Source organism: Homo sapiens, chromosome 7, assembly GCF_000001405.40.
Source record: "Homo sapiens chromosome 7, GRCh38.p14 Primary Assembly".
In the NCBI taxonomy this organism is placed as follows: domain Eukaryota; kingdom Metazoa; phylum Chordata; class Mammalia; order Primates; family Hominidae; genus Homo; species Homo sapiens.
The window spans coordinates 75,554,228-75,568,990 of record NC_000007.14 but is presented as its reverse complement, the minus strand read 5'-3'; the positions used below and the strand labels follow the sequence as shown (position 1 = coordinate 75,568,990).

Sequence of the window (14,763 nt, the reverse complement as noted above, 5' to 3'; positions counted from 1 at the left end):
GTCGCCCAGGCTGGAGTGCAGTGGTGCAATCTCAGCTCACTGCAACTTCCGCCTGCTGGGTTCAAGCAATTCTCCTGCCTCAGCCTCCCAAGTAGCTGGGATTACAGGCGCATGCCACCGCGCCCGGCTAATTTCTGTATTTTTAGTAGAGACATGGTTTCACCATATTGGTCAGGCTGGTCTCGAACTCCTGACCTCAAGTGATTCTCCTGCCTCAGCCTCCCAAAGTGCTGGGATTACATGCGTGAGCCACTGCACCTGGCCTTCAATCCCTTGTTCTTTGCCTTCTGACAGCCATCCTCTTGGGCAGGTTCTGCGGATCTCTTCCAGACTAATATCAGCCCTGAGCCTCAACCTAAAACAAATGCAGGCAATAGCTGAGAAAGAACTGCTCCCTCCTGGGCCTGCCATGGTCCAGCCTGCTACTGGGTCAGGTCACCATTTCTTCTCTAGTCCAGGACACAATTTCCACCCTATTGTGCCCGGCATGGCTTGTCCTTCAGGAACTAATTGAAGTGAAAGGATTTGGAGGATAAGCGTCTCCACACTCCTGCTGGTTCCTGCTGGGCTCCCTTGGTTACCAGACCTCGGGACAGCTCTAGGCCAGTCGTGGCCCCTGGCAGTGCTGGCCACATGCCCCAGGGTAGCTGGGCCCCTCCCCCTCGAGAGCCCCGCTGTGGCTTCCCTGCCCTCTGGTCCCCCTCCCCTCTCACACTCTTTCCAATTTCTTCCAGGCCTCCCAGCTGACACCCTGCAAGGCCACCGGGACCGCTTCATGGAGCAGTTTACAAAGTAAGTGGTTCAAGTAACAGGAATGGAGGTGAATTCAAGAGCGCTATAAAATCATTAAGCCATGCAAGTGCACTGTGAGAGGTGGCTGGACACAGTGGTTCATGCCTGTAACCCCAACTCTTTGGGAGGCTGAGGCGGGAGGATCACTTGAGGCCAAGAGTTTGACACCAGGCTGGGCAACATAGCGAGACCCCATCTCTACAGAAAAAAAATGTAAAACAAATTAGCTGGGCACGGTGGTATGCACCTGTGATCCCAGCCACTTGAGAGGCTGAGGCAGGAGGATGGCCTGAGCCTAGGAGTCCGAGGCTGCAGTGAGCTAGATTGTGCCACTGGACTTCAGTCTATGTGACAAAGTGAGACCCTGTCTCTAAAAAAAAATTTTTTTTAAATACTTGTGGGCGTGAGGTTATCTTCGGGCTGGAGTGCAATGGCAATGGCACGATCTCGGCTCACTGCAACCTCCGCCTCCTGGGTTCAAGTGATTCTCCTGCATCAGCCTCTCGAGTAGCTGAGACTACAGGCACACACCACCATGCCCAGCTAATTTTTGTATTTTTAGTAGAGATAGGGTTTCACCATGTTGGCCAGGATGGTCTCGATCTCTTGACCTTGTGATCTGCCCACCTCAGCCTCCCAAAGTGTTGGGATTACAGGCGTGAGCCACTGCACCCGACCTGAGGTTATCTTCATTCTAAGGTGATAAAGTGACAGAAAATAGCTCAGACAGAGGCAAATCTACCTATAGCTAGGGTAACTATTGGTTATCTAATAAATCCCATAGAAGCATATAGAAGAAAGAGATTTCATCCATTCATTAGTTGCCTGCTTATGCCCCAGACTTCATCCTCTTCTCTTTTCTGTCTCCCTAAGTTCTGGTCTTATAGCATTTATAGACTGATAACCCCTAAATATGCATCTCTAGCCAGACCTTACTTCTGAATGCCAGCCTCTTGTCCCCAATTTGACATCTGTATAGCATACTTAAATCTCAAACTGTACTTTAGGTTTTCTCAAAAAAAAAAAACAAAAAAAAACCTTTCTCTCTCCATTCTGTTTTTGTTTGTTTGTTTTTGTTTTTGTTTTTGAGACAGAGTCTCGCTCTGTCACCCAGGCTTGAGTGCGGTGGTGTGATCTTGGCTTACTGCAACCTCAGCCTCCCCATCTCCAGTGATTCTCCTGCCTCAGCCTCTTCAGTAGCTAGGATTACAGGCGCCCACCACCATGCCCGACTAATTTTTGTATTTTTAGTAGAGACAGGATTTCACCATGTTGGCCGGGCTGGTCTGGAACTCCTGACCTCAAGTGATCTGCCTCCCAAAGTGATGGGATTACCGGCGCGAGTCACTGTGCCCAGCCCCTCCCCATTCTTTTCTATCTCAACAAATACTGCCATCATCCATTTAGGCCAGAGATCTGGAAGTCACCATTTTCCTCATCCCCCATGTCCAATCCACTAGCAGGTTTGGTTGATACCCTACAAATATGACCTGCTTCTGAGGTGGGATGGGAGACTGGACTCTGGAGGCAGGGCTTGGGCATCGGACCAAATTAAGGACAAGTAAAACAGGGAAAGGGCGGAAGCACCTCTGCATAAGACACACCTACCAGTGTGCAGTGACAGTTTACCATTGCTATGGCAACATCCGGAAGTTAGCGCCCCTTTCCATGGCAATAACCTGACAATCTGGAATTTACCACTTTTTTTCTAGAAATTTCTGCATAATCTGCCCCTTAATTTACATATAATTAAAAGTGGGTATAAATGTAACAGCTGCTATTCTGGGCTCACTGCGTATGGAGTAGCCCTGCGCTGCAAGGAACAGGACCTCCGCTGCTGGCTGTGCACTGCCGCCTCAATAAAAGTTGCTAACACCAGCCGGGTGCAGTGGCTCATGCCTGTAATCCCAGCACTTTGGGAGGCCGAGGTGGGCAGATCACTTGAGGTCAGGAGTTCAAGACCAGCCTGGCCAACATGGTGAAACCCCGTCTCTACTAAAAAATTAGCAGGGCATGGTGGTGCACACCTGTAATCCCAGCTACTCGGGAGGCTGAGGCAGAAGAATCGCTTGAACCCAGGAGGTGGAGGTTGCAGTGAGCCAAGATCACATCACTGCACTCAGGCCTGGGCGTCAGAATGAGATTCCATCTCAAAACAAAAACAAAAACAAAAGATCTTTACTTAGGCTGGGTGCAGTGGCTCACACCTGTAATCCCAGCACTTTGGGAGGCCGAAGCAAGTGGATCGCTTGAGGTCAGGAGTTTGAGAGCAGCCTGGCTAACATGATGAAACCCTGTCTCTACTGTAAATACAAAAATTAGCCCTGTAATCCCAGCTACTCAGGAGGCTGAGGCAGGAGAATTGCTTGAACTCAGGTGGCAGAGGTTGCAATGAGCTGAGATCATGCCACTGCACTACAGCTTGGGCAACAGAGCAAGACTCCATCCAAAAAAAAAAAAAGGAAAGGAGGGGAGGGGAGGCGAAACCAGGCAAAAGGGAAGGATAATAGAGTGAGAGTTGGGAGGACAGAGGGGGCTGAGAAGGGCCTCCTGACTTAGCTGTGTAAAAGTGCACTCTCTTGTTTTTCCTGTTAATTTCCTCACCCTTGACCATAACTCCCAAATGCCAAGTTTCAGCTTCTCTGCCTGGTTCCCCAGGAGCAAGCGAAGGACAAGTGTGTGGTTGTACCCACCTCCTGGTACCCCTGTTCCATTTGAGAAGCCGAGTACATATTCTGTGATAAATGGCTTCTTTAGTCCAAGGAGACAGGCCCTGAGGCTGATTTCCTGGAATGTCAAATTCCGGTAGCTTGTGAAAGCAGTTGAGCCTGTTACTGTTGGCTCCAAACCAGCAAGATGGGGATGTGTGGTCAGGTGATTTCATTTCCTTTCATTTGCTTCTAGCTTAGAAAAACATCTCCCCTGAGTAGCCACTTTGCTGTTCCACACAGACACGGCTGCTGTCTGAGACCTCACTGTCCTTGAATTCAGGGGAAGCAGCAGTGATGTCACAGAGACAGAGACAGGCCTAAGTCTTGGGATCTGACAGGCTGTAACGAGACCCTGGGGGTTTCGTTTATTGGACTAAGCTGGAGAAAGTTCATTGTTGCAGGCCAAAGGATTTAAGGCCCATGTACCCCTTTCATCTCAGAATAGATGTAGTTAACTCCAGCTACTCAGGAGGCTGAGGTGGGAGGATCGCTTGAGCCCAGGAGGTTGAGATTGCAGCAAGCCTTGATCGTTCCACTGCACTTCAGCCTGGGTGACACAGCAAGACCTTGTCTCTAAAAAAATTAAAACAGGCCAAGCATGGTGGCTCTCACCTATAATCCCAGCACTTTGGAAGGCCAAGGTGGGTAGATGGCTTGAGCCCAGGAGTTTGAGACCAGCCTGGACAACATAGAGAGACCCCATCTTTATCAAAAACACACAAAAAATTAGCCAGGTGTGGTGGCACACACCTGTACTCCCAGCTACTTGGAGGCTGAGGTGAGAGGATCCCTTGGGCCCAGGGAGGTCAAGGCTGCAGTGAGCTATGATTTTGCCACTATACTCCAGCCTGGGCGACAGACTAAGACCCAATCTCAAAAAAATATTTACAAATAGGCAGGGCACATTGGCTCACGCCTATAACCCCAACATTTTGGGAGGCCGAGACGGGCGGATCACCTGAGGTCGGGAGTTCGAAACCAGCCTGACCAACATGGAGAAACCCCATCTCTACTAAAGATACAAAATTACCCAGGCATGATGGCACATGCTTGTAATCCCAGCAACTCAGCAGGCTGAGGCAGGAGAATCCCTTGAACCTGGAAGGTGGAGCTTGCAGTGAGCCGAGATCGCGCCATTGCACTCCAGCCTGGGCAATAAGAGCGACACTCCATCTCAAAAAATAAACAAACAAAATAAAAATGAAGAATATATAAGTCTGGATTCTCTTAGGTTTCTTGGTCTTCAGTGTTTAGATTCAAAATAGAGATTTGAGAATGAGAAAAAGATGTTGATTTTGCCAGATGTGGTGGCTCATGCCTGTAATCCCAGCACTTTGGGAGGCCAAGGCAGTAGGATTGCTTGAAGCCAGGAGTTTGAGACCAGCCTGGGCAACACAGCAAGAGCCTGTTTCTACCAAAAAATTAAAAATTAGCCAGGCATGGTGGTGCATCCCTGTAATTCTAGCTACTCAGGAGGCTGAGGCAGAAGACTGCTTGAGCCCAGGAATTCAAGGCTGCAATGAGCTCTGATTGCACCACTGCACTCTAGCCTGGGTGACAGAGCAAGACCCTGCCTCTACAAAAAGAGAGAGAGAGAGAAAAAAAATATTGGTTTCTTCATGTGCATATCCACCCAAGATTAGGACATAGTACCAAACGATTGTAATTCTCCAAGTGTTTATTGAACGGCTGCCCTGTCCCTGGCATTATGGGAAACAGCTCAGCGGAGCTCAGTCCCCACTTCCCAGGAACTTATAGTCTTAATTGTGGAGAGAACAAATAGTCCAAAAACAAAGAGAAGTAATGAAAGAAGAGAGCTACCTTTGTAGTAAAATTCCCTTCCCTTTTCCTATGGTTAGATGGCTTATCCTCAGAGAAAGTCAATTTCTTTTAATGTTACTCTAAACCAAACACTCCTCGGAAGTTAAATCTGCAAAATAACAACATGTGTTCTACAGCAATGAAGAAATTAGCTTTTTGATTATCTACTCTTCCAAAGGATTTGTAGCATGAATTACTCTTTCCTCACCAGCAGGTCACTGAGGACCAGCTTTAAATAATCCTCTGCAGCATCATAATTGAATCCCAGCACCATGGAGTTTATCTCCTTGACAGCCTGTGCCTTTGGGCTGGGGAGGGGGCAGGAAAGCCAGGTGGCTGCTCTGTCCCCTACATGGGGCTGATGAAGACACCCAGCACCCCTCAGGTCCTTCTCCACCCCTAGGTTGAAAGATCTGTTCTACCGCTCCAGCAACCTGCAGTACTTCAAGCGGCTCATTCAGATCCCCCAGCTGCCTGAGGTAAGCATGCCCAACCACACACCCTCGGCACTGCAGAGGCCCCAGGTACTCTCTTAAGGGCCGGCGGGGCCTGGCAAGCAAGCACTATTTGAGGATGTGTCTCCGTCTTCAGAACCCACCCAACTTCCTGCGAGCCTCAGCCCTGTCAGAACATATCAGCCCTGTGGTGGTGATCCCTGCAGAGGCCTCATCCCCCGACAGCGAGCCAGTCCTAGAGAAGGATGACCTCATGGACATGGATGCCTCTCAGCAGGTGAGGACCACTTGGGAGAGAAACTTGGCCTTTCCTCTCACCTGCAAGTACAGGGGAGAGGCTGGGGGAGACCCTGGCCAAAGCCCATTGACTCTAACCAGGTTCAGGCTTCTCTTCATTCACCTAGCACCAACCTAGGCTGAGCATCCTGCTCTGTGGCTCCCAGAAGGGTCATAAATGGGTGCAGTGGCTCACAGCTGTAATCCCAACACTTTGCAAGGCCAAGGTGGGAAGACTGCTTGAGGCCAGTTCAAGACCAGCCTGGGCAACATAGTAAGGCCCCATCTTTACAAAATTAGCCAGATGTGGTGGCACATACCTGTGGTCCCAGCTATGTGGGAAGCTGAGATGGGAGGATCACTTGAGCCTGGGAGGCCAAGGCTACAGTGAGCTGTTATCATGCCACTGCACTCCAGCCTAGGCAAGAGAACAAGAACCAGGCCCTAAAAATATAAATACATAAAATTAAAATAAAAAAATTATCCAGGTATGGTGGCACACACCTATACTTCCAGCTACTCAGGAGGCTGAAACAGGAGGATCACTTGAGCCAGGAGTTGGAGGCTGCAGTGAGCTATGATTGCACCACTGTACTCTAGCCTGGGCAGTAGAGCGAGAACCTGTCTCAAAAAAATTAAAAAAATTAAACAGGTCTGAACCGTTTAATTCGAGAAAGGGGGCATTCTCCCATATCACTCAACTGACCCACACACAGAATTCTCTGGCTCTCTGACTTATTCTCACTCCTTTTTGGTCAACCACAGAATTTATTTGACAACAAGTTTGATGACATCTTTGGCAGTTCATTCAGCAGTGATCCCTTCAATTTCAACAGTCAAAATGGTGTGAACAAGGATGAGAAGTGAGTCCAAGCTGGGTTCAAGCAGATGGTTCAGGAGCTAAGTTAAGCCATGGTCTGCCTCAAAACACTAACCAAAGAGGAATTCTTAATGATACTGGGGCTTCTTAGATACAGAACATCTTGAAGGGTTGGGGGCAATGGCTTATGCCTGTAATCCCAACATGTGGGGAGGATGAGGTAGGAGGATTTTTTAAGGCCAGGAGTTTAAGACCAAGCTTGGGCAACATAGCAAGATCCCATCTTTATTAAATAAAAGTAAAAAAATTAGCTGGGCAGGTGGTACACACCTGTAGTCCCAGTAACTCAGGAGGCTGAAGTGGGAAGATCATTTGAGCCTGGGATATCAAGGCTGCAGTGAGCTATGATCGTGCCACTACACTTCAGCCTGGGCGACAAAGCCAGACTGTCTCTAAAACAAAACCGAAAACACACACAAAAAAGGAATGTCTTGACCCTCAAATATTGGCCCCTTTAATCTCAGAAGAAAATCAATAACCATGGATTTATGAGTATTAGATTAGTATCTGGTAACATTTAGAGTATAATTTATGGCATTTCAAAGAATTGTCCCCAAATTAATACCAGCTTTTAATTTCCTCCCCTGAGCTCACAATTAAAAACAGAGGGATAGAAGCACTATGAAAGCAAACTCATTCCCCTTCTCTTCCCAGGGACCACTTAATTGAGCGACTATACAGAGAGATCAGTGGATTGAAGGCACAGCTAGAAAACATGAAGACTGAGGTATAACTTGGATCTGCTCTGCCTTTGCGCTTCACCAAAACACGGTAGATTTGAATGTTAAATTTGCATCACACTAGCCAGGCACAGTGGCTCACACCTGTAATCCTAGCACTTTGGGAGGCCAAGGCAGGAGGATTACCTGAGGTCGGGAGTTCGAGACCAGCCTGGGCAACAGGGTGAAACCCCCGTCTTCAATAAAAATGCAATAATTAGCCGGGTGTGTTGGCAGGCACCTGTAATCCCAGCTACTCGGGAAGCTGAGGCATGAGAATTGCTTGAACTTGGGAGGCAGAGGTTGCAGTGAACTGAGATCGTGTCACTGCACTCCAGCCTGGGCGATAGAACAAGACTCTGTCTCAAAAAAAAAAAAAAAAATTGCATCACCTAGACAGTTTTTGGACCACATCCTTAGGGTAGGTTAATTAGTAGAAACAAGCCAGGCGTGGTGGTGTGCACCTGTGATCCCAGCTACTCAGGAGGCTGAGGTAGGAGGATCACTCAAGCCCAGGAGTTTTGAATCCAGCCTGGGCAACATAGCGAGACCTGTGTCTCTAAAACCAAATAAAAACTGGTAGAAATGCTAAATCCAAAAGAACCAGGTCTTCCCGTGTTCTCTGTCATAATGCATTTCCATTTTACATGCCATGAGGACAGCATTTAGGCCAGGCACAGTATCCATGTGATTGATACCCAGAGATGACCTTGGTCCCCACGAGGCTGAGAAGCTGTGGAGAACAAGACCAGACCTTCTCACATGGCGATAAGGAGAGATTGGTTTGCCGGGCACAGTGGCTCACGCCTGTAACCCCAGCACTTTGGAAGGCTCAGGCAGAAGGATCACTTGAGCCCAGCAGTTCAAGACTAGCTTGGGCAACATAGCAAGACCCCATCTCTACAAAAAACTTTTTAAAAATTAGCTGGGCATGGTGGTGCATACCTGTAATGCCAGCTACTTGGGAGGCTGAAGCTAGAGGATCTCTTGAGCCTAGGAGGTTGAGGCTGCAGTGAGCCATAATCACCTCACTGCACTCCAGTCTAGGTGATAGTGATACCCTGTCCCTCCCCTCCCCCAACCGCCAAAAAAAAAAGAGAAGAGACAGCTGTGAGCAATGTTGGTGCTATATTAACAACCGCCCCTCACAGTGGCTGGTCAGGTGACTTCACCCACAGGGACAGCCACTGCTACCCCCAGCCACTCTAAAGAGGACCACAATTCCCCGGCCATCATCCCCTGTTATTGTTGTTGATTGAGGGGCTCCTAATGACCAGATGGTCCAACCCTCCTGGGACGTGGAGAGTTGACTTAGGGGAATCAGGTATTTACTTGGAAGCATGGTAGGACCCGCTTCTCCGGCCCATGCCCGTGACCCGTGGCAGTGGGCGGTTGGCCTCATGACCGGAGTCCCCCCACAGAGCCAGCGGGTTGTGCTGCAGCTGAAGGGCCACGTCAGCGAGCTGGAAGCAGATCTGGCCGAGCAGCAGCACCTGCGGCAGCAGGCGGCCGACGACTGTGAATTCCTGCGGGCAGAACTGGACGAGCTCAGGAGGCAGCGGGAGGACACCGAGAAGGCTCAGCGGAGCCTGTCTGAGATAGAAAGTGAGCGGTGGGTGGGGGCGGGGGCGGGCCCCGGGGGCAGGCGCGGGCAGCAGAGCCCAGCTGGACTCAGGATGCGGCACAGAGGCTGGGTGGGGGAGACCCAGACTGTCTTTCTAGAAACAGCTAGGAATGCCAGCTCTTAGCCTCAGTCCAGAGGGCGGGTTTGAGTCCTGCAGGCACAAAGCTGTGTGCGAGGCACCGCTGAGCACAGAGATGGGAAATACAGAAGACAGCACTGAAGTGCTTGCCCTGGGCAGTGGATACTAAGGGAGAAGGAGAGAGGATTGAGGTCCTAACAAAGAAATTGACATAAAAGCTGAGGGCACAGTGGCACATGCCTGTAATCCTAGCACTCTGGGAGGCCAGGATGGAAGGACTGCTTGAGGCCAGGAGTTCAAGACCAACCCGGGCAACATAGCAAGACCCCATCTCTAGAAAAAATAAAAAAGACTAGCCGGGCATGGTGGCACGTGCCTGTAGTCCCAGCTACTCTTGAGGCTGAGACAGGAGGATCGCTTGAGCCCAGGAATTCAAGGCTGCAGTGAGCTGATTGCACCACTGCACTCCGGCCTCTGCAACAGAGAGCCTTGTCTCTAAAAAATTTCAAATAAATTTGTTAAAAAGCTGAAAGCCCCCATAGAATAAATGCCATGTATGTAAGTGCTGAAGAGGCATGAATCCCTGGCTTGATTATTTATTTGTTTTATTTTTTTGAGGTGGAGTCTCACTCTGTCGCCCAGGCTGGAATGCAGTGGTGTGATCTGGGCTCACTGCAACCTCTACCTCCCAGGTTTAAGGGATTGTCCTGCCTCAGCCTCCCGAGTAGCTGGGATTACAGGCACACACCACCATGTCCAGCTGATTTTTGTATTTATAGTAGAGATGGGGTTTCACCATGTTGGTCAGGCTGGTCTTGAACTCCTGACCTCAGGTGATCCACCCACCTTGGCCTCCCAAAGTGCTGGGATTATAGGCATGAGCCACCTCGCTTGGCCCCTGGCTTGATTTTTAACTAGTTGAATTCTTTTTAAAGATGACTTCCTGGAGAAGTTTCTGTAAGTAGGACTTTCAAGGGAGAAAAGCATATATGCATTCCTAAATCAAAGGAAGATCTTTGGCCGGGCACAGTGGCTCATGCCTATAATCCCACTGAGATGGGAGGATCACCTGAGCCCAGGAGTTTGAAACCAGCCTGGAAAACATAGTGAGACCCTGTCTCTACAAAAATTAGCCGGGTGTGGTGGCGTGTGCCCATGAACCCAGCTACTCAGGAGACTGGGGTGGGAGGATGACTTGAGCCCAAGGAGGTCAAGGCTGCAGTGAACAGTGATTGTGCCACTGCACCCCAGCCTGGGTGACAGAGCAAGACTGTCTCAAAACAAAACAAGGAGGACCTTCTAGGGACCCTGGCTCATTGCAAGGAAGGCAAGGGTCCCTGCTAGGTTAGACTCCTCACCTTGGTCCTTTACAATACAGGGAAAGCTCAAGCCAATGAACAGCGATATAGCAAGCTAAAGGAGAAGTACAGCGAGCTGGTTCAGAACCACGCTGACCTGCTGCGGAAGGTAAGACCCTCAGCCCCTGTCACCATCCTGCAGGCCCTGCACCTCTAGGGAGAGAGCGGCTCAGGCCTGTGGCTTCCCCGGGGCCAGCAACCCCTACATTGATCTCTAAGGCATTGCCGTCATCTCGGGAACCACACCTTTTCAGGCTTCCTTGCCTCTGTGTCTTGGGCTGTGTCCTGGGTGCCAATCCCATGTAGGTCACCCACCTTCTTTATTATTTTGTAAATATTTGAGCATCAAGCATCTGAAGGTGATGGCTCTGTTCCGGCTGTGGGTAGGAAAGTGATTCCTGTGTCTGACTCTAGGGCACGCACAGCCTGAGTATGATTGTCCTAGAAGGAGGATGTCCTCTAAGCCTGGGATCTCCTGGTTCAAGACACTGTTCTTCTTTTGCAGAATGCAGAGGTGACCAAACAGGTGTCCATGGCCAGACAAGCCCAGGTAGATTTGGAACGAGAGAAAAAAGAGCTGGAGGATTCGTTGGAGCGCATCAGTGACCAGGGCCAGCGGAAGGTGAGTGGGACGAGGAGCACTCGGGAAATGAGGGAGGGGGCTGTTGAGTTGGTGGCGGGGGCTTTGTGGCCTTCTGCTCCATGGGCAGTTCTGTGGGTCGGTTGGCATCACACAGCAGGGAGCACACCATGGTGGCCACACAGAACAGCAAAACACCGTCACCAGTGCATACACGAAGTAATGGAAGGACCCAAGTTGCCTGGGGTTAATCAACAAAGGCTTTCCAAGGATGAGGCTGGTGGAGAGTTTGAGGAAAGGAAAACACATGGGTGGCAGAGAGAGAGGGATGAGCGTTTTTTTTTGTTTGTTTGTTTTGTTTGTTTGTTTTTTGAGACGGCAGTAATCCCAGGACTTTGGGAGGCTGAGGGGGGTGTGGATCACCAAGTCAGGAGTTCGAGACCAGCCTGGCCAATATGGTGAAACCCCATCTCTACTAAAAATACAAAAGTTAGCCAGGTGTGATGGCGTGTGCCCGTAGTCCCAGCTGCTTGGGAGGCTGAGGCACAAGAATCTCTTGAACCTTGGAGGTGGAGGTTGCAGTGAGCTGAGACTGCACCACTGCACTCCAGCCTGGGCAACAACAGCGAGACTCCGTCTCAAAAATAAATAAATAAATAAATAAATAAATAAATAATAAAAAATCCTTCCTTGACATTCCACATTTTCAGTACACTCTGGGGTCTTGCCTCCTCCTCCCACACCCTGCACTTTTTTGGGGGGGTGTAACTTACATACAGTAGAGTTTACAGATCTCTTGTTGATCGCTTGGGACGTTTTTACATTTTTATATTCTTTGTCACTGTCACCCAGATCAGAGTCCCTCTGTTTTTCTTCTCTTTCAGACTCAAGAACAGCTGGAAGTTCTAGAGAGCTTGAAGCAGGAACTTGCCACAAGCCAACGGGAGCTTCAGGTTCTGCAAGGCAGCCTGGAAACTTCTGCCCAGGTAAATACCTCCTTTTTTTTTTTGGAGATAGAGTCTTCTTCTGTCACTCAGGTTGGAATGCAGTGGTGCGATCGCAGCTCACTGCAGCCTCCACCTCCCTGGGCTCAGGTGATCCTCCCCACTTAGCCCCCCGAGTAACTGGGACTACAGGCACACACCCCTACACCTGGCTAGTTTTTGTATTTTCTTTGGTAGAGACGGGGTTTCACTATGTTGCCCAGGCTGGTCTCGAACTCCAGGGCTCAAGTGATCCTCCCACCTCAGCCTCCTAAAGTGCTGGGATTACAGACATGAGCCTTCATGCCCGGCCTCCTTTCTTGCCCCACCCCTGGCTTTGGCGTTGCTGTCATCCACCATCCTTGGCCTGGCCAAGTCAGCCCCCACTGCAATCAGTGTGTCCCCGGGAGGGAATCAGAGTGGCAGGTTAAAGAGCCATCACCTTCCCAGTCCTTGCAACCCGGTGGTGGGTTGGACCTCTGGGAAGTAGGGACTGTTTAACTCAACCAGCGTCTCCCTCTTTCCTTGTGGTCACCTTTGCAGTCAGAAGCAAACTGGGCAGCCGAGTTCGCCGAGCTAGAGAAGGAGCGGGACAGCCTGGTGAGTGGCGCAGCTCATAGGGAGGAGGAATTATCTGCTCTTCGGAAAGAACTGCAGGACACTCAGCTCAAACTGGCCAGCACAGAGGCAAGTCACGGACATGGACACGAGCGAGCACCTGTGAATTCCCACCGAGGGCCTCTGCGCATGCACGGAGGCTGGGAGGACCCCGGGGCTGCTGAGAAGGGGTTTGGGGCCTTGGCCTGATTGTGCAGACATTCTGTAGGTGTAATGCCAGCAGGCCCTGCATTGCCTGCAGAGTCCATGAGGGAAAGCAAACTGCTGTCTTTTTTGTATGAGAAGAGAAGTTTGGCATCTCCTCCCAGCCATGAGAAGCGGGCGCAGTGATCCATCCCCACAGCCTCTGTGGGCAGCCGCACATCGTGGGCAGCCGCACATCCTGTGCACACAGTTAAAGCGCCTTTCTCTGTCTCAGGCTTACTGGCTTGGACCTCATTGGCCATGACTTGAGCTAAGATGCTAAGAGCCCCAGCCAGGTCATCCTGCTCAGGTTCATTATGGAGTCTAGGGCAGACTCTCACCTCCCTGGACCATTTTTAGGAATCTATGTGCCAGCTTGCCAAAGACCAACGAAAAATGCTTCTGGTGGGGTCCAGGAAGGCTGCGGAGCAGGTGATACAAGACGCCCTGAACCAGCTTGAAGAACCTCCTCTCATCAGCTGCGCTGGGTCTGCAGGTACACTTGCAATTGCCCAGCTGGCAGGGGCCAGGTCCTTACAGCCTGAGACTCTGTTGATGTTGAATCTCATGTGAGACTTAGCTCAGGGGCTCTCAGCCCAGCAGCATGTCAGCATTACCTTAGGGGCGCCCAGGCCCCATCCTAGATCAGTTACATGTGGAAACTCTGTGCATTAGTGCCTATACACTAGTATTTTAGTATTTTCTTCCCCCCCCCCGCCCCCCCGCTTTTTGAGATAGGGTCTTACTCTGTTGCTCAGGCTAGAGTGCAGTGCCGTGGCTCACTGCAACCTCCGCTTCCTGGGCTCACACAATCCTCCCCACTCATTCTCCCAAGTAGCTGGGACTACAGGCACGCAACACCACGCCCAGCTAATTTTTGGTTTCGGTTTGTTGCTCAGACTGGTCTTGAAGACCTGGGCTCAGGCTATCCACCCACCTTGGCCTCCCAAAGTGCTGGGATTACAGGCATGAGCCACCATGCCTGGCCTTGGCTAATTTTTTAATTTTTGGTAGAGACGAGGTCTCACTCTATTGCCCAGGATGGTCCCAAACTTCTGAACTCCCACCTTGGCCTCTCAAAGTGCTGGAATTACAGGCATGAGACACCACGCCAGGCCCAGCAGTAGTATTTTCTAAAGCCCCCAGGTGTGATAGCTACTGCTTTAGACAGTGGGTCACACTGATAAAACACCCACCAGGAGCAGACAATTCTGTTTCTCTAAGGAAAAAACTATGGTCTGAATCAAGAGGTGATTACTCATGAACTTCACGTCTAGGCAGGAAGCTTACCCACTAGGTAAGCTCCTCCATTCAGTGCTTAATTAACGAGGATGAAGCCAGCTATGAGAACTTGCTCTGACCTTGCCCTGTGTTCCCTCTCACAGATCACCTCCTCTCCACGGTCACATCCATTTCCAGCTGCATCGAGCAACTGGAGAAAAGCTGGAGCCAGTATCTGGCCTGCCCAGAAGGTAAGAATGGCCAAGGACAGTCTCTGTCGGCTAGTGATGGCCAGACAGGGTTCAGAAGCACCTGAATGCGGGGATAGTGACAGGTCCCTCTGCATCAAGAAAGGCATGTAGGCAACTCATACAAGAAAGGCATGTAGGCAACTCATAAAACGGGAGGAGAGGGTATGAAAGTGTCACCATCAACCAGACCTGAGAAACTTCTCTTTCCAATC

General features: G+C 50.3%; 1 protein-coding gene across 8 annotated transcripts in view; it reads left to right on the top strand.

Moving 5' to 3' along the window:
• HIP1 (huntingtin interacting protein 1) overlaps positions 1-14,763 on the top strand; it is a 205,644-nt gene that overhangs the window by 169,951 nt on the left and 20,930 nt on the right. For all 8 annotated transcript variants that reach the window (NM_001243198.3, XM_011516116.3, NM_005338.7 and 5 more), the window contains exons 9-20: positions 735-792; positions 5,728-5,803; positions 5,916-6,056; positions 6,821-6,918; positions 7,590-7,662; positions 9,076-9,259; positions 10,736-10,824; positions 11,221-11,337; positions 12,180-12,281; positions 12,822-12,965; positions 13,440-13,575; positions 14,465-14,551. In NM_001243198.3, the coding sequence (NP_001230127.1) occupies positions 735-792; positions 5,728-5,803; positions 5,916-6,056; positions 6,821-6,918; positions 7,590-7,662; positions 9,076-9,259; positions 10,736-10,824; positions 11,221-11,337; positions 12,180-12,281; positions 12,822-12,965; positions 13,440-13,575; positions 14,465-14,551 (1,305 nt within the window). The remainder of the gene's footprint in view (positions 1-734; positions 793-5,727; positions 5,804-5,915; positions 6,057-6,820; positions 6,919-7,589; positions 7,663-9,075; positions 9,260-10,735; positions 10,825-11,220; positions 11,338-12,179; positions 12,282-12,821; positions 12,966-13,439; positions 13,576-14,464; positions 14,552-14,763) is intronic.